Raw genomic sequence first — 24,173 nt, 5'->3', positions numbered from 1 at the left:
ATATTAAGAACATAGCATTTGTTACCTTATCGGCCACTGTCAATGAAGTCTTGAAAATATGCTTTAGTTGACTATTGATTTTCAGTATAGACACCACAGTTGGGGATAAAATCATTTCCAGTGAACTTAGAAGATCAGTCTTGAGTACATTCTGGTTTCAGAAATAAACAAATAGGTCTTTAAAAAGAATATTTCCACTTCTGTAAACCTTTCTAAATGATATCTTAAATACTTTGGTAGCTAAACATTCACATTAAAATTTACATTTCCATTCTCCATTCTTTTTTTTTTTTTTTTTTTTTGAGACGGAGTCTCATTCTGTCACCCAGGTTGGAGTACAGTGGCAACATCTTGGCTCACTGCAACCTCTGCCTCCTGGGTTCAAGTGATTCTCCTGCCTCAGCCTCCGGAGTAGCTGGGATTATAGGTGTGAGCCACCACACCCAGCTAATTTTTGTATTTTTAGTAGAGATGGGGTTTCGCCATGTTGGCCAGGCTGGTCTGGAACTCCTGACCTCAGGTGATCCGCCCCCCGTGGCCTCCCAAAGTGCTGAGATTACAGGCGTGAGCCACCGCGCCCGGCCCCATTCTCCATTTTTTATACTCTACATAGATAAATCAATACAATAATACAATAATTTATTATATTACAATAAATATAATAATTTCTCTTTTTTCAAGCCCAGTGAAAACACAGAATTTCTTTTTTTCTTTTTTTGAGATATAGTTTCACTCTCGTGGCCCAGGCTGGAGTGCAATGGCGTGATCTTGGCTCACTGCAACCTCCGCCTCCTGGGTTCAAGCGATTCACCTGCCTCAGCCTCCCAAGTAGCTGGGATTACAGGCACCTGCTACCACGCCTAGCTAATGTTTGTATTTCAGTAAAGACAGGGTTTCACCATGTTGGCCAGGCTGGTCTCGAACTCCTGACCTCAAGTGATCCACCCACCTTGGCCTCCCAAAGTGCTGAGATGAGCCACCGCACCCAGCCAGAACTATTTAATAGTTTAATGAAATAGAAGTCAGAAGAATTCAAAAGAGGAAAATGACAGTTAATAAGATTTCAGCACTCCAAACAAAATAAATTTTTAAAAACCTACAGGTATATTTTAAGAAAATAAATTTCAAACAAGTTTAGGTTACCAGTCAAAAAGGCTGAGACCAAGTAGTCATCAAGATTAGCCCTTGGGCTGGAAGTACTTAACTTTGAAGATCTGAGATGACTTACATCCTATTGTATCAGAAGAACTTGTGAAAGATGTTGTTCTTGTCAAGAAATAGGGAAATTAAGAATGTAGTATAGATTGGAAATATTTATAAAAAGAAAAAAAATCCTGATCTAATCTCCTTTTGGTAGGATAGGGCTGAGGAAGTATAACAGAAATACATTAGTAAATACTTATAGGTCTACTGACATTCTTTTGGAAAGAAGAGCTAGCATACCAATTTCAACTAATTTTGTGAGAGCAACATGCCTCTTTTCTTTTAATTCAAGCAAAAATTGTAACTTGGTAAGTAGAAATGTATCAATTCAGGCATAGCTTATTTTATTGTGCTTCACCTTACTATGTGTCACAGATACCAAATTTTTACAAATTGAAGGTTTGTGGCAACCCTACCTTGAGCACGTCTATCAGTGACTTTTTTCAAATATCATGTGCTCACTTTCTGTCTCTGCATCACATGTTGGTAACTACTACAGTATTTCTAACTTTTTCATTATACACTGTGATCAATGATCTTTGATGTTACTATTGTAATTGTCTTGGGGTACCATAAACTGTACCCCTATAAGACAGCAAATGTAACTGATAAACGTTGTGTTCTGATTGTCCCACCAGGCGTGTGCTGGAATTACAGGTGTGAGCCACTGCGCCTGGTCAACATAACCTTTATATGCACCGGGAAAGCAAAAAATTCATGACTTGCTTTATTGTAATATTCACTTTATTGCAGTGGTCTGGAAGCAAACCTGCAATATCTCTGAAGTATGCCTATATATATACAGACCACCATTTAATGAATGAATCAATATTTGAAAAGTTAGTACTGACAGGATATCTTTTAATTTTGTCAAATTTGGGTGATTGAGAAAACCTATCAAATAATGTCATCTAAGCACTGAATTGAGGCAGAGGGTCAGCTAACATTTGTAGTATTTACTTGGAAAATGTTTAATAAATATTGTTAAGCTGAAAAAGGGAGGCAAAGACTCTGCACAAAGAAAACAAATAAATTATATGGCTAAGAACTTCCTAGACCAACCATACAATTATAAAATAAAGACTATATATAAATCAAGTATGAAGGAGGTAATATTAAGTGCAATTAGATGAGTGACTTCCATAGAACTCTGGAGAAAAGATTTATAGTTATGGCCCAGAAGGGGCCACACAGATCTAACCCTAAGAAGTGATATGTGTCCCCAGAATTCTAAGATATTTTTCTTGCACCATTATTACTATCATATATTACTGTAGTTTTAAAATCAGCTACCCAATATCCCCTTCTGGTTGGGTCCAGGACCCCTGGGGAAAGAGTGACTTGCCAATTTCTGGGCCAACTAACAAGTCCCTTGATATCATGTGGTGCTAAACTTGCCCTTTAGTCATTAGAAGCCTCACTAATAACTGCTACTCCTAATGTTACAAGACATGAGTGAAAAAGGTTTCAAAAGTTAGTTCCATACATTTGAAAATAATCTTTCTGGGAGAGAATAAACAGTGGAGAGATCTGTCTTTAAAAATATAAACGTACTCTCGGCCGGGCACGGTGGCTCACGCCTGTAATCCCAGCGCTTTGGGAGGCCGAGGTGGGTGGATTGCTTGAGGTTAGGAGCTTGAGACCAGCCTGACCAACATGGTAAAACACCATCTCTACTAAAAAAAAATACGAAAATTAGCCAGGCGTGGTGGCACATGCCTATAATTCCATCTACCCGGGAGGCTGAGGCAAGAGAACTGCTTGAACCCAGGAGGCAGAGGTTGCAGTGAGCCGAGAAAAGGAGAGGCTGAAAAAAATAAATAAATACAAATAAAGAAAAGGAGAGGCTGGCTGGGCACGGTGGCTCATGCCTGTAATCCCAGCACTTTGGGAGGCCGAGGCGGGTGGATCACAAGGTCAGGAGATCAAGACCATCCTGGCTAACACGGTGAAACCCCATCTCTACTAAAAATACAAAAAATTAGCCGGGTGTGGTGGTGGGCGCCTGTAGTCCCAGCTACTCGGGAGGCTAAGGCAGGAGAATGGCATGAACCCGGGAGGTAGAGCTTGCAGTGAGCCGAGATCACGCCACTGCACTCCTGGACGACAGAGCGAGACTCCATCTCAAAACAAACAAACAAAACAAAACAAAACAAAATATATATATATGTAGTCTCTCACAGTGACGTGTCTATGACTGTGTCTAGTAAAGCTCAGGAAGAAAGAATAGCAGTTAACATTGTTTATAAAGACTTATCAAATGTAACCCTTCAAAATATTTTATCAAATACTTATCAAATGCAACCCTTCAAAAATATTTTAAAGGATGTACTAACAATCAATTCCTGTAGTACAGTTTTACTTTCTGCTGCTAATGATTGTTCTTTTAGTATCATATTAAAAATCTGAGAAACATGAGTAGACACATTTTCTGGAATAGATGTGAGAGATCCAAGTGCTACTGTAGTAATGGTATCTAATGCAGAGACACTGGAAGACAGCAGATTACCTATAACAAACAAAAACAGAAAGATGTAAACTTTGACATAAATATATTAAATACCGTTCAAACCATTTCAAAGAAGTTGACAAAAGTATACCCTTGTTGTAGAATTTGTAATAACGAGCTTAAAAGAACTGGCTCACTACAAAGCAAGGAAATATTTAAATATACATTACAATTTTCTATAGTGCTCTGTAAGCCCTTAACATATTTGTAAGTGTATCAGACCCATAACTATAATTCATAGTACACAAAGAATTAGAATATTCTACAATTAATCTCTAACTAAAAATAATATACAGAATTATGGTAAGTTTACAGAAGAAAAAAAAAACTGGAAATCAATACCAAAAAGTATAGTGCTTGGCTTAGTGAGACTAGAGTCTAGATGATTTTTTAAATTTTTATATTTCTGAATGTCCAAATTTTCCATAATGAGGATAGTATTTCACACTAAATAAACATACTTTTTTCTAAAGGGAGATAATAGTTAAAAACAATGAGACACAAACATATTCTGACAATATAGCAAACCATCAAGATATATATGCCCCCCCCAAAAAAAGTTGCAGAATGTTTATGCACAAAAAATTTCCAGAAAAAGGCCCAAGAAATTTAACAATAACACCTATGGTCAATGACCCAGGGTCAGGAGCCGGAGTCAGGGAAAAAGAGGACTTCTACTTCTAACGTTTATATACTTAGTTACTTAATAAATGTAACATTTTATAGAAAACAGAAGGGAGGGTGGGGAGGGAAAAAAGATTTGTTTTAATTCAAAGACAATAAAAGCATTAATCTTCACCCTGAACAAATAGTTTGTGCATGGTAGAGAGTATTGGTGACACCGTCATCTATGTTTCACAAAATTATCAGTTTTGAAATCAACATTACACTTAACACATCAAGACTAGAACAGAACAGCCTGAACTTACCAAATAAGGTCTTATGTACTTCTAGCATGGCCTTTTGCTTTGAGCTGCCATCCTTAATTAATTCTTCCATATTATTAAACAGACTATTCAGGTTTTTGCCAAAAATATCCTGAGCTTCTGCATTGTGTTGGTCAACTGCCTTCTTACGATCCAGTTTGGAATGGAGACCAGATACATCTTTTGTAGTTTCTTCAACTGTGTTAAGCAGCTATATTTTTAAAAATAAGTGTTAGACAAAATGGATACGGTGAAAGGAATCTGATGAAAGTATCTACACAAGGATTTATCTTGATAAGAACTAGTAAATTTTCCAGCCTGGCCAACATGGTGAAACCCCGTCTCTACTAAAAATACAAAAATTAGCTGGGTGTGGTGGTACATACTTGTAGTTCCAGCTACTCAAGAGGCTGAGGCAGGAGAATTGCTTGAACCTGGGAGGTGGAGGTTGCAGTGAGCCAGAGATTGTGCCACTGCCACTCCAGCCGGGGTGACAGAGAGAGACTCTGTCTCAAAAAAAAAAAGTCAATTTTAGACATTGTATCAGAAGAAATGCTTTAACTCATGCTAATTTATCCAGATGCCCAGTAATGTTTATTTCCCTTCCTGTAGCCATCTACACAAGCAAGGAAAACTGATTTTTTCAGTTATTGCAATAATTATGCTTCCTCAGAAATTTTTTTCCTTCTATGTTCTACTATTTCCTCAGAAGTACACCTAATGGCCGGACGTGGTGGCTTACACCTGTAATCCCAACGCTCTGGGAGGCCTAGGCAGGTGGATCACCTGAGGTCAGGAGTTTGAGACCAGCCTGGCCAACATGGTGAAACCCAGTCTCTACTAAAAATACAAAATTAGCTGGGTGTGGTGGCAGGCGCTTGTAATCCCAGCTACTTGGGAGGCTGAGGCGGGAGAATCGCTTGAACCCGGGAGGCAAAGGTTACAGTGAACTGAGATGATGCCACTGCACTCCAGCCTGGGCTACAAAGCAAGAGTCTGTCTCAAAAAAAAAAAGTACAACTAATAAAAAATTAAAGGCCGGGCGCGGTGGCTCACGCCTGTAATCCCAGCACTTTGGGAGGCCGAGGTGGGTGGATCATGAGGTCAGGAGATCGAGACCATCCTGGCTAACAAGGTGAAACCCCGTCTCTACTAAAAATACAAAAAATTAGCCGGGCGCGGTGGCGGGCGCCTGTAGTCCCAGCTACTCGGGAGGCTGAGGCAGGAGAATGGCGTGAACCCGGGAAGCGGAGCTTGCAGTGAGCCGAGATTGCGCCACTGCAGTCCGCAGTCCGGCCTGGGCGACAGAGCGAGACTCCGTCTCAAAAAAAAAAAAAAAAAATTAAATACTTTCAACATCTTTCATCATCAGAACATACTAAATTCTTTTTTTTTTTTTTTCTGAAACAGAGTCTTGCTCTGTTACCCAGGCTGGAGTGCAGTGGCATGATCTCGGTTCACTGCAACCTCTGCCTCCTGGGTTCAAGTGATTCTCTTGCCTCAGCCTCCTGAGTAGATGGGATTATAGGCATGTGCCACCACGCCTGGCTAATTTTTGTATTTTTTTTTTTTTAGTAGAGATGGGGTTTTACCATGTTGGTCAGGCTGGTCTCGAACTCCTAACCTCAAGCAATCCACCCACCTCGGCCTCCCAAAGTGCTGGGATTACAGGCGTGAGCCACCATGCCTGGACAGAACATACTAAATTCTTAATGACTAATTAGGTTCAATCATCCCCACAAAGAAAAAGCATCACAGCATCACTATTCTAAATGTCTACAAAATATATTATAAAGTTATGTTCTATTTTCTTTTTTTTTTTTTTTTTTGAGACGGAGTTTCGCTCTTGTTGCCCAGGCTGGAGTGCAATGGTGTGATTTCGGCTCACCGCAACCTCTGCCTCCCGGGTTCAAGTGATTCTTCCACCTCAGCCTTCCCGAGTAGCTGGGATTACAGGCATGCGCCACCACGCCCGGCTAATTTTGTATTTTTAGTAGAGACAGGTTTCTCCATGTTGGTCAGGCTGGTCTCGAACACCTGACCTCAGGTCATCCACCCACCTTGGCCTCCCAAAATGCTGGGATTATAGGCGTGAGCCACCACTCCCAGCTAAGTTATGTTCTATTTTCAAAACTCCAGGAGCAGGAGTAGTTTTTTCATAAGTCGACATCTCCAGTGAGAAAAACATGGATGAAATAGTAAAATAATGTTTTTTAAATGGACAGAAATACCATTTGGGGTGAATAAACAGAATATTTAATGCTTAAGCACAGAAAATTTTTTCTACCCATTCTCTACTTAATATGAGTACAAATCAACACAAGGGACAAACCTTGCTGGCAGCATCATGAAGTTTCTCCTCAGTACTTTCCAAAGCTGATGTGATATATTCTTCTTTAACAAGTTGTAATTTAGTTTCTTGCAAATGTTTTTGAGTGGTTTCAAGTTCTTGTGTTTTATTTTGCAGGTCAGATTTACACTGGTCAAGTTCATTTTTATTATCCATAAACAACTCTGTAACCTAAATATAAGAATTTAAAAAACGCTGAGCTGGCTGGTAGGATATCTAGCTAGTTCATAAGATTAGAAAAATGAAACAAATTATTTCCATGCAAAAGTTGTAAGAAGTTACCCGGTAGGTTAACACAAATATGTCATCCTGTTTCTTTCTGTAATCTTACTCAACACTTTGAGATTAAATAATAGGTCTGGTGTAGTACTATTAATTCTTCAGTTTCCTTCAACATTGTCAATGGATTTGAATATAACAGTGTTAATGTGGCCTGGCAAGGTGGTTCACACCTGTAACCCCAGCACTCTGGGAGGCCAAGGCAGGAGATCACTTGAGCCCCATAGTTTGAGACCAGCCTGGGCAACATAGCGAGACTGACTCCATCTCTACAAAAAAATAAAATAATTAGCCGGGCATGGTAGTGCATGCCTGAAGTCCAGCTACTCAGGAGGCTGAGGCAGGAGAGTTGCTTGAGACCAGAAGTTTGAGGCTGCAGTAAGATATGATTACACCACTGCACTGTAGCCTGGGCATCAAGCAAGACCCTGTCTCTAAAAAATAATTAAAAATAAATAAATAAAGGTATTAATATGAGGGTGGCCCTGAAAGGTCAGGCCTCTTGCCTACCCTAGTTATATTACTTTTATTTAACATCCAGTCTCTCCCAATATCTGTATTCCTTCATCTGATAAACATGTTAACAAAACTGCTTCAGCATTCACTATTTTGTAGTTTCAATAACAAAATCAAACAATTCAGTTAATTTCTTGTAATGTTTTATTAATATAAGCTGTCAGCTTTTTTGATGTGATTAATGATAGTAAAAAATCATGATATAACTTACTTTCAGTATAAGGGTCAGCAAAATAAAATCTTTTTTTTTTTTCCAAAAAAATCTGAAGGAGCTGGGTGCAGTGGCTCACGCCTGTCATCCCAGCATTTTGGGAGGCTGAGATGGGCAGATCATGAGGTCAGGAGTTCAAGACCAGCCTGGCCAGCATGGTGAAACCCTGTCTCTACTAAAAATACAAAAAAAATTAGCCAGGCATGGTGGTGCACACCTGTAATCCCAGCTACTCGGGAGGCTGAGGCAGGAGAATCGCTTGACCCTGGGAGGCAGAGGTTACAGTGAGCCGAGATCACGCTATTGCACTCCAGCCTGGGTGACAGAGCGAGACTCCGTCTAAAAAAAAAAAATCTTGAAGGAAAAAATATTAGATCTTTCATTCTAAAATTTTCTTTCAATATTTGCTTTTCACATAACAGTAAATATCATTTTAAGTGCTTACCCTATTCAGCTCCTCCTCAACAGCACCAATTTTTTCAATCAATTCTACAATCTGCTCTTCTTGAACAGTTAATTTTCCACTCATGACTCTAAAATAAAGTTTAATATGAGTTTAACAGTTAATATTTTTTTCTAACTCCTATAAAATGTATTCTAACACAATTGTGACAGCTACACAAACTCATTTCCAACATTTATCACCATCACTTGATACCCAAGTGTCACTTGATACCTGTGTCAATAAGCAATAAATACAAATTACAAAGAACAAATTATATTCCTTGTCTTTGTTTTATAAATGAAATATTTTTCCCTTGCCCTCAATTCTGAAACTAAGAATCCCTACCTATGAGGGGAAAAGCATGTGTGTTCCAGATTTGAGAAGCTAGAAAGCTAACAGAGGACGGACTATAACTCAAAGTAGAGAGAGGAGGGAATGCAACCTAAGTGTCTATAATCAGGGATACAGAATATAAATATGCCCCACAGAATGCTGGAAAAATGTGGGACTTGAAGGCATCAGGTATCTTAGAAGGAAGGGGTAAGATTAGGGGTTAAAAACTGAGACTTAAAGTATGTATACAGAGCAATTACACCCCCTGCTGCTGCAACACGCACAAACACCACTCTCACCCCACCGCATAACCCTCATGAGAACAAAGGATTACTCTCTAGAGCAGAGTTTCTCAGCCTCAGCACTAGTGGATCAAATAATTCTTCATTGTGGGGATGTCCTGTACATTTTAGGATGTTCAGTACCATCCAAGTCATGATGATAAAAAATGTCACTGGACTCTGCCAAATGTCCTCTGGGGGACAAAACCACCCACCACCACCAGTCCCCCAACACCACTTCCATTGACAGCCACTAGTCTATAGGAATTGCAGCAGAATTTCCAGGTTCACTTTCACTAGACATCATGGACTGTAGAAGGTTTAGGGACTAGAAATGAGCATTTAAGTGTAAATCTACATACAAAATGATGGAATCCTCAGCCCCCTATACCCACTCTAATCAAAAAATAGCAGCAGCTAGAAAAATCTCCAAGCAAACTGGGCAAATCTTCTCAGAAAAGACTGAGGGCTAGAACAAAAGAAAAAAAATCCAACAAAGAATGATATCTGATGGAAGCCCAGACTTAAGACTGAGATCACCACTTTTTCATCTATAGTGAACTTACAGGTCCATAATCCTCACCCATGTACAAAGCTTCTAATCCATCTTAATTGCCAGCCAAAAATCACTAGACATTTGAAGAAAATAAATACAAATGACAGATATCACAACAGGGAAAAAAAAGATCCCAAAGGAAAGAAAAACATAAAAGAAAACTTTAATAACATTAATAATGTTTCTGAGATAAGGAATAGATCTATAAAATAAAAGGATGCTATATTTTTCAAAAGGAGAGACAGGGATGGCAGAAAAGAGTTTTTAGAAACTAAAAATTTCTAAATTCAACAAAAATATCAGAAGATGAAGTCAAAGTCAAAAGAAGTCATAAAAAGTAAAATAGAGAATGCTTTTCTCAAGCGCAAAGCTCACAGGTCTTCCAAACCCACTTTAATGGGTCTCTGATTTCTTGAGTATTAGTCAGTTTCAGAAATGAATGCCTGTATTTGCTCATCTAATTCTTTGATAACAACCAACAATTTTCTATTTCACATTATGCTTAAATGACAAAGATTCTTCCGTGAATACAAATTCCCTTAACGTATTAGCTAGAGATATTGTTGACTAAAGGAAAAGCTAGAAAAGAGCTGTAAGAGAAGAGTTAATTCTAATAGTCTTTTGATGAAATATATTAGCTTTTTATTAAAAATGGATCTTCTACAGCCAGGCGCGGTGGCTCACGCCTGTAATCCTAGCACTTTGGGAGGCCGAGGCGGGAAGATCACGAAGTCAGCAGATCAAGACCATCCTGGCTAACATGGTGAAACCCTGTCTCTACTAAAATACAAAAACAAAATTAGCAGGGCGTGGTGGCGGGCACCTGTAGTCCCAGCTACTCAGGAGGCTGAGGCGAGAGAATGGCGTGAACCCAGGAGGCGGAGCTTGCAGTGAGCCAAGATGGCGCCACTGCACTCCAGCCTGGGTGACAGAGTGAGACTCTGTCTCAAAAATAAAAATAAAAATAAAATAAAATAAATAGAAATAGATCTTTTATGTAAAACGGGATTATTTGAAATGCTTTTTTATAGTGAATGCCAAGGGGTAATACAACATTGTTACTGTATGGATGAGATGATTTTGATATGGTTTTAAAATGTCTATTAAGCTTGGCTTAAATAAAGCATTATCCTGTTTTAAATGTTGGCTGTAGTTTTTGTGATTCTTCTCTGACTGACACTGTACTAATTCCAAAAGCGTTTTCAGACAAAACTATCTCAGATTATGCCTCATGTGTATTAGAGAACAAACACCTAGGTTTTTTACAAGGGTTTTTAGTTTTAGGTTTTACATTTAAGTTTTTAATCCATCTTGAGTTGATTTCTGTATATGGGCGTTAAGGAAGGGGTCCAGTTTCAATATTCTGCACATGGATAGGCAGTTATCCCAGCACCATTTATTGAACAGGCAGTTTTATCCCCATTGCATGTTCTGTCGAAGATCAGATGGCTGTAGGTGTGTGGCTTTATTTCTGGGCTCTCTATTCGGTTCCATTGGTCTGTGTCTGTTTTTGTACCAGTACCATGATGTTTTGGTTACTGTAGCCCTGTAGTATAGTTTGAAGTCAGGTAATGCGATGCCTCCAGCTTTGTTCTTTTTGCTTAGGACTGCTTTGGCTATTTGGGCTCTTTTCCAGTTCCACATGAATTTTACAATAGTTTTTTCTGTGAAGAATGTCATTGGTAGTTTGAGAGGAACAGCATTTAATCTGTAAATAGCTTTGGGTGGTATGGCCATTTTAACAATATTGATTCTTCTTATCCATGAGCATGGAAAGTTTTTCCATTTGTTAGTGTCAACTCTGATTTCTTTCAGCAGTGTTTTATAATTCTTACCGTAGAGATCCTTCACCTCTCTGGTTAGTTGTATTCCTAGGTATTTTACTGTTTTTGTGGCTATTGTGAATGGAATTGCATTCTTGTTTGGCACTCAGCTTGGACATTATTGGTATATAGGAATGCTACTGATTTTAGTACAATGATTGTGTATCCAGAAACTCTGCTTAAATTGTTGATCAGATCTAGGAGCTTATGGACAGAGACTATGGGGTTTTCTAAGTATAAAATCATATACACCCAGCGGGGCACGGTAGCTAACACCTGTAATCCCAGCAGTTTGGGAGGCGGAGGTGGGCAGATCACTTGAGGTCAGGAATTCAAGACCAGCCTGGCCAACATGGTGAAATCCCATCTCTACTAAAAATACAAAAATTAGCCGGGCATGGTGGCAGGCACCTGTAATCCCAGCTACTTCGGAGGCTGAGGCAGGAGAATCGCTTGAACCCAGGAGGTGGAGGTTGAAGTGAGCTGAGATCGTGCCACACTGCACTCCAGCCTGGGCAACAGTGAAACTGTGTCTCAAAAAAAAAAAAAAAAGTGGGCAAATGATGTGGACATTTTTCAAAAGAAGACATATATGTGGCTAAGAAGCATATGAAACTATGTTTAACACCATTAATTGTTAGAGAAATGCAAATCAAAACCACAATGAGAAACCATCTCACCAGTCAGAATGGCTATTATTAAAAAGTCAAAAAATAACACATGGTGATAAAGTTGTGGAGAAAAGGGAACGCTTATATGCTACTAATGAAAATTAGTTCAGCCATTATGGAAAGTAGTTTGGCGACTTCTCAAAGAACTTAAAACAGAAATACCGGCAGGGCATGGTGGCTCACACCTGTAATCCAGCACTTTGGGAGGCCGAGGTGGGCAGATCACTTGAGGTCAGGAGTTCGAGACCAGCCTGGCCAACATGGTGAAACCCCATCTCTACTAAAAATACAAAAATTAGCCAGGTGCGGTGGTGGGTGCCTATAATCCCAGATACTTGGGAGGCGGAGGTAGGAGACTTGCTTGAACCTGGGGGGCAGAGTTTGCAGTGAGCCGAGATTGTGCCACTGCAGTCCACCCTGGACAACAGAGCAAGACTCCATCTCAAAAAAAAAAAAAAACCACACACACACAGAAATACTATTTGAGCCAGCAATCCCATTACTGGGTATATACCCAAAGGAATATAAATTGTTCTACCATAAAGACACATGCACACATATGTTCATCATAGCACTATTCACAGCAGCAAAGACGTGGAATCAACCTAGCTATCCATCCACAGCAGACTGGATAAAGAAAATGTGGTACATATACACCATGGAATACTACACAGGCATAAAAAAGAGCAAGATGGCTGGGTGCAGTGGCACATGCCTGTAATCCCAGTACGCCAGGATACCAAGGTGAGTTGATCACTTGAGGCCAGGAATTCAAGACCAGCCTGGCCAACATGGTGCATGGTGAAACCCCATCTCTACTTAAAAAAAAAAAAATTTGCTGGGCATGGTGGCAGGTGCTTGTAATCCCAGCTACTCGGGCAGCTGGGGTAGGAGAATCACTTGAACCTGGGAGGCAGAGGTTGCAGTGAGCCGAGATCACACCACTATACTCCAGCCTGGGTGACAGAGCAAGACTGTCTCGAAAAAAAAAAAAAAAAAAAAAGAATGAGATCATGTTCTTTGCAGCAACATGGATGGAGCTGGATGCCATTGTCCTAAACAAACTAACATAGGAACAGAAAACCAAACACCAAACGTTCTCACTTATAAGTAGGAGCTAAACCCTGAGCAGACATGGACATGAGGAAGGGAACAATAGTCACCTGGGCCTCTTTGAGGGTGGAGGGTAAGAGGAGAGCAAGGATTGAAAAGCTATCCATCGGGTTCTATGGTTATTATCTGGGTGACAAAATAATATGTACACCAACTCCTGTTACATGCAATATATCTATAGAACAAATCTGCACATGTACTCCTGAAACTAAAATAAAAGTTAAAAAAAAAGAGAGCAAACACCATATTTTCAATCATGGGACTAAACAAATGAAAACCAAAGTTACTTCTTAAGTTCAAAAATAAAATCAGAAAGATGAAAGCCTCCAATAATCAATATCATTTCTAAAGACTACAGGCCAGGATTGAGTGCCTCACCAATTATTTTTTACTTCTAAAGCATCAAAAAAAGAACACCTCCATTAGTGATGGTAAACTGTTCACTAACCCACAATCTTACATTGTTCTGATTCTAGGGCATCTTACACATTCATGGAATACATTATGACAGTTGGAAGTAACACAGAAAAAACTAAGTTTATTAAATGATTTATATACTATTAGAGTGTTAACATCTACAAAAAAGTTCAGTAAAAGATTATACTAAAATGCTTCTGGTTATTATTAGGTCTAATATCTTTTATCACTATTAACTTTTAAAAAATGCTCTGTGAAAGTCTTGCTTCCTAATATCTTCAAGGATAAACACAATCAGGAATTTTCAAGTTATAGTCCTTAGCATCCCACTTGCCTTCTTCCCCTTGTTTTCTCTGTTATTATTGTTGTTTTATACAATGGGCCTCAATAAAAGCTTTCCTTTGAACAAATTACTCCAGGGCTTTAAAAAGTGAACAGATTAGTGGTTGCCAGGGGTTAGGAATCATGGAAAAGATGAGGTGAGTGTGACTACAGTGAATTAGCAAGAAAGATCCTTGTGATGATAGGATAGTTCTGTATCTTGATTGCAGTGGTGGTTACACAAATCTATACAAGTGACAAAATGGCATAGAACTACTATATACACATCTTGATATGGTCTGGTTCTCTGTCCCCACTGAAATCTCATGTTGAATTATAATCCCCACATGTTGGAGGAGGGACCTGATGGGAGATAACCGAGTGATAAAGATGGACTTCCCCCTTGCTGTTCTCATGATAGTGAATGAGTTCTCACAAGATCTGGTTGTTTAAAAGTGTGCAGTGCTTTCCTCTTCACTTTCTCTCTCCTGCCGCCATGTGAATATGTGCTTGCTTCTCCTTAGCTCTTCTACCAGGATTGTAAGTTTCCTGAAGCCTCCCCAGCCATGCCTCCTGTACAGCCTATGGAACTGTGAGCCAATTAAACCTCTTTTCTTTATAAATTACCCAGTCTCAGGTGGTTCTCTATAGTAGTATAAGAACAAACTAATACACATATTGTATCAAGGTCAACTTCCCAGCTTTGATATTGTACTATAATTATTTTTTATTTATTTTATTATTATTTTTTCCTTTTTCTTTTTTGAGATGAAGTCTCGCTCTTGTTCCCCAGGCTGGAGTGCAATGCTGCTATCTCAGCTCACTGCAACCTCTGCCTCCCAGGTTCAAGTGATTCTCCTGCCTCAGCCTCCCGAGTAGCTGGGATTACAAGCACCTGCCACCATGCCTGGCTAATTTTAGTATTTTTAGTAGAGACGGGGTTTCACCATGTTGGCCAGGCTGGTCTCGAACTCCTGACCTCAGGTGATCTGCCTGCCTCAGCCTCCCAAAGTGCTGGGATTACAGGCGTGAGCCACGGCGCCCAGCCTATTTTTTATTTATCGCGCCTATTTTTTATTTATCTATTATTTTATTTACTTATTTTTGAGACAGAGTTTCACTCTTGTTGCCCAGGCTGGAGTGCAATGGCGCGATCTTGGCTCACCACAACCTCCGCCTCCCAGCTTCAAGCAATTCTCCTGCCTCAGCCTCTGGAGTAGCTATGATTACGGGCATGTACCACCACACAGGGTAATTTTGTGTTTTTAGTAGTGATGGGGTTTCTCCATGTTGGTCAGACTAATCTCAAACTCCCAACCTCACGTGATCTGCCTGCCTTGGCCTCCCAAAGTGCTGGGATTCACAGGTGTGAGCCACCACATCCAGCCTTGTACTATAATTATTTAAGAGATAACCACTGAGGAAGACTGGGTGAAGAATACATGAAACCTCTCTTGTACTCTTCTTGAAACTTCACATGAATTAATGATTTAAAAATTAAAAGTTAGTAAAAGATTTTTAAAAAGTGTTTGATAGCTACTTGTTAATGTCAAAACAAAATAGAAGCCTAGGCAGCATGGTGAAACCCTGTCTCTACAAAAAAATGCAAAAATTAGCAGGGTGTGGTGGCTCATGCCTATAATCCCAGCTACTTGGGAGGCTGAGGCAGGAGGATCGCTTGAGCCCAGGAGACTGAGGACGTAGTGAGCCAAGATTGTGCCACTGTGCTCCAGTCTGGGTGACAGTGCGAGACCTTGTCTCAAAAGAAAACACACACACACACAAAATGAAGTATTTATCGGCACTGGATATAAAGATTTTACTTACTGCTACATAAGTTTTACTTCAAATAGCCTGTTATCAGAAATGCTTATTCTTGGAAATTAACTCCATAGCCAAGGGCTTACCTAAAATTTTCTTCAGAAATATACACTCCATTTTTCTCACGGGCTGCAGCAAGATCTCGTTTTAAACGTTCTATCTCCTCCGTATACTCCTACACAAGAGGAATGTTGTAGGTGTCAGTTTAGTACTTTTTTCATTCAGTTTGGGAAGGACATGCAACAAATAAAATGTAAAGTTAGCCTTTTTATGTCTTTTAAAACTTAAAGAAGTATGATAAAAAGTTATAACCATACTTTTTAATCAATATTAATTTGTTTAGAAATAAAGTCTTTCAAAGCTCCTTTTTAAATACACTCATTCTAGAAATATGGACTTCCCAAGAAAAACCACAACCTCCAGTACCCAGGTTGGTAGGAGTAATTCACACTAAAATGAACCAGGATTCCTTATAAAAGCATCTGATTCCAGGACTGAGGCAGAAAATATTCAAGATGAATACGGAACATCTTGTCAAATAAGACAAGGAAATAAGCTAAGCAAAGCCTACTAGGTTAATCAAAAGGACTCAGTAAGCCACTTGAAGATGTAACCCCTTAATATGGTTTGGCTCTGTGTCCCCACCTAAATCTCATCTTGTAGCTCCCATAATTCCCACGCGTTGCGGGAGGGACCTGGTGGGAGATGACTGAATCGTAGGGGCGGATCTTTTCCATGCTGTTCTCATTACAGGGAATGGGTCTCACGAGATCTGATGGTTTTACAAACAGGAGTTTCTCCACACAAGCTCTCTCTCTTTGCCTGCTGCCACCCACGTAAGATGTGACTTGCTCGTCCTTGCCTTCCGCCATGATTATGAGGCCTCCCCAGACATGTGGAACTATAAGTCCAATAAACCTCTTTCTTTTGTAAATTGCCCAGTCTCGGGTATGTCTTTATCAGCAGCATGAAAACAGACTAACATACCCCTGGCCTAAGATGAGCCAATCTGAGCATCGGTGAGGAGAACAACTACAATGGGTTAACACAAATAGTTTAAATCTAGGAGTTTATAATGACACTAAGAAACCTAGGAAACCAACTCATTATTCTCAAAATTGGCAAATAAAGGAAATTAATCAAGCATGTGTCCTGCCTTTCCTATAAGAACTATACCTCTGGCCGGACGCGGTGGCTCACGCCTGTAATCCCAGCACTTTGGGAGGCCGAGGCGGGCGGATCACAAGGTCAGGAGATCAAGACTATCCTGGCTAACATGGTGAAACCCTGTCTCTACTAAAAATACAAAAAATTAGCCGGGCGTGGTGACAGGCGCCTGTAGTCCCAGCTACTCAGGAGGCTAAGGCAGGAGAATGGTGTGAACCCAGGAGGTGAAGCTTGCAGTGAGCCGAGATGGCACCACTGCACTCTAGCCTGGGCAACAGAGCGAGACTCCGTCTCAAAAAAAAAAAAAAAAAAAAGACAAAGAACCAGACATTACATACTTCTAAATGGAAGAAGACACTACTGCTTATGAATTAGTTTTGCCAAAAATAAATAAGACAAAACTTGAATTTAATCAAGCCTCAAGATTCAGCTACCGATTTACAAAGAAAATACAAAGAACAGAGGAACACGTCAAAAGATACTATGGTAAAACTCTACAGGACAAATATACAGATATTTCCCCAAATAAATTATAATGGGAAATAAATATATATATACATGTATATGTTATATATAAATATGCAATATATGTATATGCTATATATACATAAATATATAAACATCAAATAAGCACATTAAAAAGACACTCAACATCATTAGCCTTTAGAAAAATTCAAGTTAAAAACCACAATGAGATATCTATCACCTACCACACCTATCAGAATGACTAAAATAAAAAAGTTACACCACCAAATGCTGGTGAGGATGTGAAGAAATCAGATCACTCATACACTGTAAAATGATACAGCCAATTTGAAAAACAGGCAGTTCCCTAAAATAATAAACATTCAATTATTATACAACCCAGCAATTGCACTCTTGGGCAATTATCCCAGAGAAATAAAAATTTATGTTTACATAAATACCTATAAATGAATGTCAATAGCAGTTTTGTTTGTAATAGCAGAAAAACTGAAATTAGCTCATATGTTATTCAATAAGTGAATGGTTACAAAAACTGTATGTATGGTACATACTCACCATGGACTACTACTTAGTACTAAAAAAGAAAGATCTGCTGGGTGCAGTGGCTCAAGCCTGTAATCCCAGCACTTTGGGAGGCCAAGGTGGGTGGATCACAAGGTCAAGAGTTTGAGACCCAGCCTGGCGAACATGGTGAAACCCCGTCTCTACTAAAAATACAAAAAATTATCTGGACATGGTGGCAAACACCTGTAATCCCAGCTACTTGGGAGAGTGAGGAAGGAGAATCGCTTGAACCCGGGAGGCGGAGGTTGCTGTGAGCTGAGATCGCACCACTGCACTCCAGCCTGGGCAACAGAGTGAGACTCCATCTCAAAATAAATAAATAAATAAATAAATAAGGCAATCTCAAACGTTTACATAATGTATGATTCCAATCAATAACAGTCTTGAAATGATAGAGGACAGGTTACTGGGTACCAGGAAAGGAAGGATATGGTGGGAAGAAAAGTGGTTACAAAAGAGCAATATGAAGGGTCCTCGTGGTGATGGAACTGTTCAGTATCTTGATTGTGGTGGTAAATACATGAACCTATACATGTGACAAAACTGTCTAGAATTAAATACACATACACATGTAAGGAAAATTGGGAAAGATTAGTGGATTGTTATTAATATCAATATCCCCGTGGTAATATTCTATAGTTCAACAAAATGTACAAAGGATTTCTCTGTATTATTACTTTTTTTCTTTTTTTTTTTTTTGAGACAGAGCCTCACTCTGTCTCCCAGGCTGTAGTACAGTGGCTCGATCTCAGCTCACTGCAACCTGTCTCCCGAGTTCAAGCAATTCTCCTGTCTCAGCCTCCTGAGTAACTGGGATTACAGGCACGTGCCACTACGCTCAGCTAATTTTTGTATTTTTAGTAGAGATGAGGGTTTCACTATGTTAGCCAGGCTGGTCTCGAACTCCTGATCTAAAGCAATCCGCCTACCTCGGCCTCCCAAAGTGCTGGGATTACAGGCATGAGCCACCGTGCCTGGCCTGTTTTCTCTGTATTATTTCTTATAACTGCATGTGAATCTATAATCATCTCAATACTAAAAACTTTATTTAAAAAAAAAAAAAACATCAAGGAAAGGAAAAAGTAAAGCCAGACTGGGAGGAAATATTTGCAAATCATATCTCATTAAGGGCTTGTATCTAGACTACATGAACTCCTTACAACTTAATAAGACAAACCAATTAAAATTGGGCAAAGCATTTGAATAGACATTTCACCAAAAAAGATAAACAAATAGATAATAAGCACAAGAAAAGATGTTCAACATCATTAGTCATTAGGGAAATGCTAATTAAAACCATATTGGGGCCAGGCGTATTGGCTCACGCCTGTGATCCCAGCATTTTGGGAGGCTGAGGCGGGCAGATTACGAGGTCAGGAGTTCAAGACCAGCCTGGCCAACATGGTGAAACCCCATCTCTACTAAAAGTACAAAAATTAGCTAGACGTGGTGGTGCACACCTGTAGTCCCAGCTACTCGGGAGACTGAGGTCGAAGAATCACTTGAACCTGGGAGGCGGAGGTTGCACTGAGTCAAGATCGTGCCACTGCACTCCAGCCTGGGTGAAAGAGCGAGACTTCATCTCAAAAAAAAAAACAAAAACAAAAACAAAAAAACCGTACTGAAGTACCATTTTATACTCCTTAGAATGGTTAAAATTAAAAAGACCGACCATAACAAGTGTTAAAGAGGAGGTGGAGAAATTGCAGACCTCATAAACTGCTGTAGGAAATACAAAGTGGTACAGCTACATGGAAAAGTTTCTTAGAGCATAAACTTACTATACAACCCAGAAATTAAATCCCTAGATATCTACCCAAAAGAAATGAAAACACATCAACACAAAGACATGTACAGAAATGTTCACAATGGCATTAGTGGAAATGATCCAAATGTCATATTATCAGCATATAATTGAATACTATTCAGCAATAAAAAGAAATAAACTACTGATACATGTTATAAGTGGAACCCCAAATGGTTATGCTAGGCAAAAGAAACTAGATGCAAAAGACCAAATATTACATGATTCCATTTATAGGAAACGTCCAGAAAAGGCAAATCTGTAGACAGAAAGCAGGTCAGTGGCCACATGATTGTAAAGGAGCAAAGGGAAACTGGATAGTGATAACAAATTTTCTAAAACTAGATCGTGGTTATACTCCACAACTCTGTAAATGCACTATAAATCATTGAATTGTATGCTTACATTAGGTGGATGTTATGGCATGTAAATTATACCTCAAAAATGCAAATAAATAAATTTTGTAAATGTAAATAAATGAAAATTTTGCTAAGAGTACCAACTCAGTTGATAAAGTTGGTAAAGTCAACATACTAGCATTAGAAAAAAATATGTTAACATGTAAGACATTTAGTTTAAATCACTATATAAAAAGCCTTCCATGGGCAATTTAACAAATCTTGTTTAACTATTATCTCCCACTTCAGTTTCTTATTTTCACATTTGTCAAACAAGATTACATTACTCTACAAAAATTCACAGTTACCTTAATAAGAGCTTTTTTGGTGAGTTTCTGATTCACTTCAGGCTTATTCAATATGTTCTTTGCTCTATGAGCATATTCCAATGTACTCAGAGTTTCCTGTCATGGAAAGGAAAGGTCAATTACTGAAGATATTGTGAGAATAATGTAGTTCTGTTATCTAAAATATGTTATATAATAACTTACAAGTAATATTTTATAGTTATATCTAATTTTAAAATCTAGTCATTAAGACCACTATGCCCAACCTTTAAAAAGGAAGTTGTTCAATCCTTTTTTCCCTTCTCTTCAATTTTCAGAGTCTCGACCCTTAGGATAATTTCCTTTAGACTATTCTTAAACTCAATGATGGCTCACATTTGTAATTCCAGCACTTTGGAGGCCAAGGCATGAGGGTCACTTGAGCCCAGGAATTCGAGACCAGCCTTGGCAACATAGGGAGATCCTGTTTCTACAATAAATAAATAAATATTAGCTGGGCATAGTAGTATGTGCCTATAGTCCCACCTACTTGGGAGTCTAAGGTGGGAGGATCACTTAAGGCCAGGAGGTTGAGGTTACAGTGAATGTGCCACTGCACTCCAGCCAACAGAGAGGGACCTTGTCTCAAAAAAAAAAAACAAAAAAACAAAACAAAACAAAAAAACCACAAAGCTCAATCAATCTACCAACTGATGAATAAACAAAATGTCCTATATCAGCCGGGCACAGTGGCTCACACCTGTAATCCCAGCACTTTGGAAGGCCGGGGCGGGTGAATCATGAGGTCAAGAGTTCGAGACCAGCCTGGCCAACATGGTGAAACCCTGTCTCCACCACAAATACAAAAATTAGCCAGGCATGGTGGTGGCGCCTGTAATCCCAGCTACTCAGGAGGCTGAGGCAGGAGAATCACTTGAACCCGGGTGGCGAAGACTGCAGTGAGTCAAAACCACACCATTGCACTCCAGCCTAGGCAACAGAGCGAGACTCCATCTCAAAAAAAAAAAAAAACAAAAAAATCCCATATCCATACTATAGAATAATATTCACCTGTAAAAAGGAATAAAGTATTGCTGGTACAACACAGATGAACCTTGAAAACATTATGCTAAGTGAAAGAAGCCAGTCACAAAAAACTACCTATTACGTAATTCCATTTATATGAAATACCCAGAATAGGCAAATATATAGATGCAAAAAGCAGTAGCGATGGGAGTGGGGCAAATGGAAAAGTAATTTCAATGGGTACAGGCTTTCTTTCTGAGGTTATGAAAATGTTCAAAACTTAGATTTTGGTGATGGTTGGACAACTCTGTAAATATACTAGAATTATTAAATTAATATACTTTAAATCAGTGAATTTTATGGTATGTGAATTAAATCTCAACAAAGATTTTTTTTTAATGAAGGGGCAGTTGGACACCTTAAAAAAGCTTTTTTGTTTTTTTGAGACAGAGTCTCACTCTGTCACCCAGGCTTGAGTGCAATGGCGCAATCTCGGCTCACTACAATCTCCACCTCCTGGGTTCAAGCAACTCTCCCGCCTCAGCCTCCTGAGTAGTTGGGATTACAGGCGCGCACCACCATGCCCAGCTAATTTTTTGTATTTTTTAGTAGAGATGGGGTTTCACCATGTTGCTCAGGCTGGTCTTGAACTCCTGAGCTCAGATGATCCACTCACCTCAGCCTCCCAAAGTGCTGGGATTACAGGCGTAAGCCACCGTGCCTGGCCTAAAAAAGCTTTTTAAAATCCATTTAGGTCAAGTGAGGTGGCTCATGCCTATAATCGCAGCATTTTGGGAGGCTGAGGTAGGAGGATCCCTTGAGCCCAGGAGTTCAAGACCAGCCTGGGCAACATAGTGAGACCTCTGTCTCTATTTAAAACAAAACAAAACAAAACTTAGCCAGGCCTGGTGGCTCACACTTGTAGTACTAGCTACTCAGGAGGAGGCTGTGGTTGGGGGAATCACTTGAGTCCAGGAATTTAAGTTGCAGTGAGCCATGATCATGCTACTGTACTGCGGCCTTGGCAACAGTATGAGACTCTACCTCTAAAAGTAAAAAAATTAATAAATAAATAAAATTTCCACTTAAGGCAGATGATAGCAATAAAATAAGCGTACATTTTACCATCTTTGTTACTTTTCTTGGTTTTCCTCTCTGTTCTCACACATCCAACGCCATCTTCAGTGTTCTCTAAGCAGCCTCTACCACACTAGCGAGCATTCACTTGGCCTGCTTCTAAGTCCTCAATTAAATCTCCATACACCACCCACTGCTAATGACCACAGCAATTTTCTTTGAAGACTGTGTGGAAAAAGCCATTAAGAAACTGGCTTTTTAAGGTTAAAAACTCTGCCAGGAAGGAAAAAGATAACTTCTTCAGGAGTGTCCTCCTGTATATATTCATATGCAATGTCCAGATTCTTTTACATTATAGCATAGAATGAACGAAGCTAGGCTGAGTAGTGGCACACGCGTGTAATCCTAGAACTTTGGGAGACAAAGGCGGGCGGCTCACCTGAGGTCAGGGGTTTGAGACCAGCCTGGCCAACAAGGTGAAACCACGTCTCTACTAAAAATACAAAAATTAGGTGGGCGTGGTGGCAGGTGCCTGTAATCCCAGCTACTTGGGAGGCTGAGGCAGGAGAATCGCTTGAACCTGGGAGGTGGAGGTTGCAGTGAGCCGAGATCGCGTCATCGCACTCCAGTCTGGGGGACAAGAGTGGGATTTGTCTCAAAAAAAAAAAAATGAAGCTACTAAATGAACTTTTTTTCCCTACTATATGTGTGTGTGTGTGTGTGTGTGTGTGTGTGTGTGTGTGTGTGTGTATACACATACTTTTCTTTTTTTTTATACACATACTTTTTTTTTTTTGAGATGGGGTCTCCCTCTGCCACCCAGGCTGGAGTGTAGTTGCATGATCTCAGCTTAATGCAACTTCTGCCTCCCAGGCTTAAGTGATCCTCCCACCTCAGCCCCCCAAGTAGCTGGGACCACAGTTGTACACCACCAAACCCAGCTAATTTTTTGTATTTTTGGTAGAGACAGGGTTTCGGCATGTTGCCCAGGCACTCCTAAGCTCAAGTGATCCGCCCACCTTGGACTTCCAAAGTGCTGGGTTTACAGGTGTGAGTCACTGTGTCCATCCTAGTAAATGAACTTTTAAAATATATAATAGCCAAATAAGAATTACAGCTACTACACTTGCAGCTTCCTTTCAAAGGGCTTACCTCAAGATTGAGAGATGCAGGAGAAATTGTTGCAATTATAGATGTTCTTGTACGCCCTCCAAGAGAATCCTGGAGGATTCTAGTTAGTTTAGATTCTCGATAAGGAACATGAGGTGTTCTTTCTACAAGGGCAGTAATGACCCTTCCCAAAGTCAACAGGGATTGATTTATATTTCCAGCTTCCCGAGCTCTCTTATCAACAGCTCCAGAACGGCCAATGTTTTCACTTCCTGCAAGATCAACCTTTAATTTTAAAAATAAAAATAAAAAGTGAGTCTATTGGATTTGGATTCAAAGACTTTCATTCTCACAGGATACATAATGTATTAAATCGCCAGCAAAATAATTTTTTCTGTAATTAACAAATTTCTTCTCCCACTACAAAGCTAATCACCCAGTGACCACAAAAATTTTGTCTCAAGGACAAAATTTCAAGCTGCTCTATAAGGTGTTTAAGA

At 39.6% G+C, this 24,173-nt stretch overlaps 1 protein-coding gene across 1 annotated transcript in view; it reads right to left on the bottom strand.

The window, feature by feature from the left end:
- KIF11 (kinesin family member 11) overlaps positions 1-24,173 on the bottom strand; it is a 62,266-nt gene that overhangs the window by 18,061 nt on the left and 20,032 nt on the right. Inside the window, exons 8-15 of the mRNA NM_004523.4 lie at positions 23,716-23,958; positions 20,503-20,598; positions 15,862-15,950; positions 8,440-8,527; positions 6,971-7,159; positions 4,642-4,849; positions 3,540-3,712; positions 26-151 (exon numbers count right to left, since the gene is read on the bottom strand). Coding sequence (NP_004514.2) covers positions 26-151; positions 3,540-3,712; positions 4,642-4,849; positions 6,971-7,159; positions 8,440-8,527; positions 15,862-15,950; positions 20,503-20,598; positions 23,716-23,958 — 1,212 coding nt within the window. The remainder of the gene's footprint in view (positions 1-25; positions 152-3,539; positions 3,713-4,641; positions 4,850-6,970; positions 7,160-8,439; positions 8,528-15,861; positions 15,951-20,502; positions 20,599-23,715; positions 23,959-24,173) is intronic.

This window comes from Homo sapiens, chromosome 10 (genome assembly GCF_000001405.40).
Source record: "Homo sapiens chromosome 10, GRCh38.p14 Primary Assembly".
Taxonomy (NCBI): Eukaryota; Metazoa; Chordata; class Mammalia; order Primates; family Hominidae; genus Homo; species Homo sapiens.
This window is presented reverse-complemented; position numbering and strand designations above follow the sequence as displayed.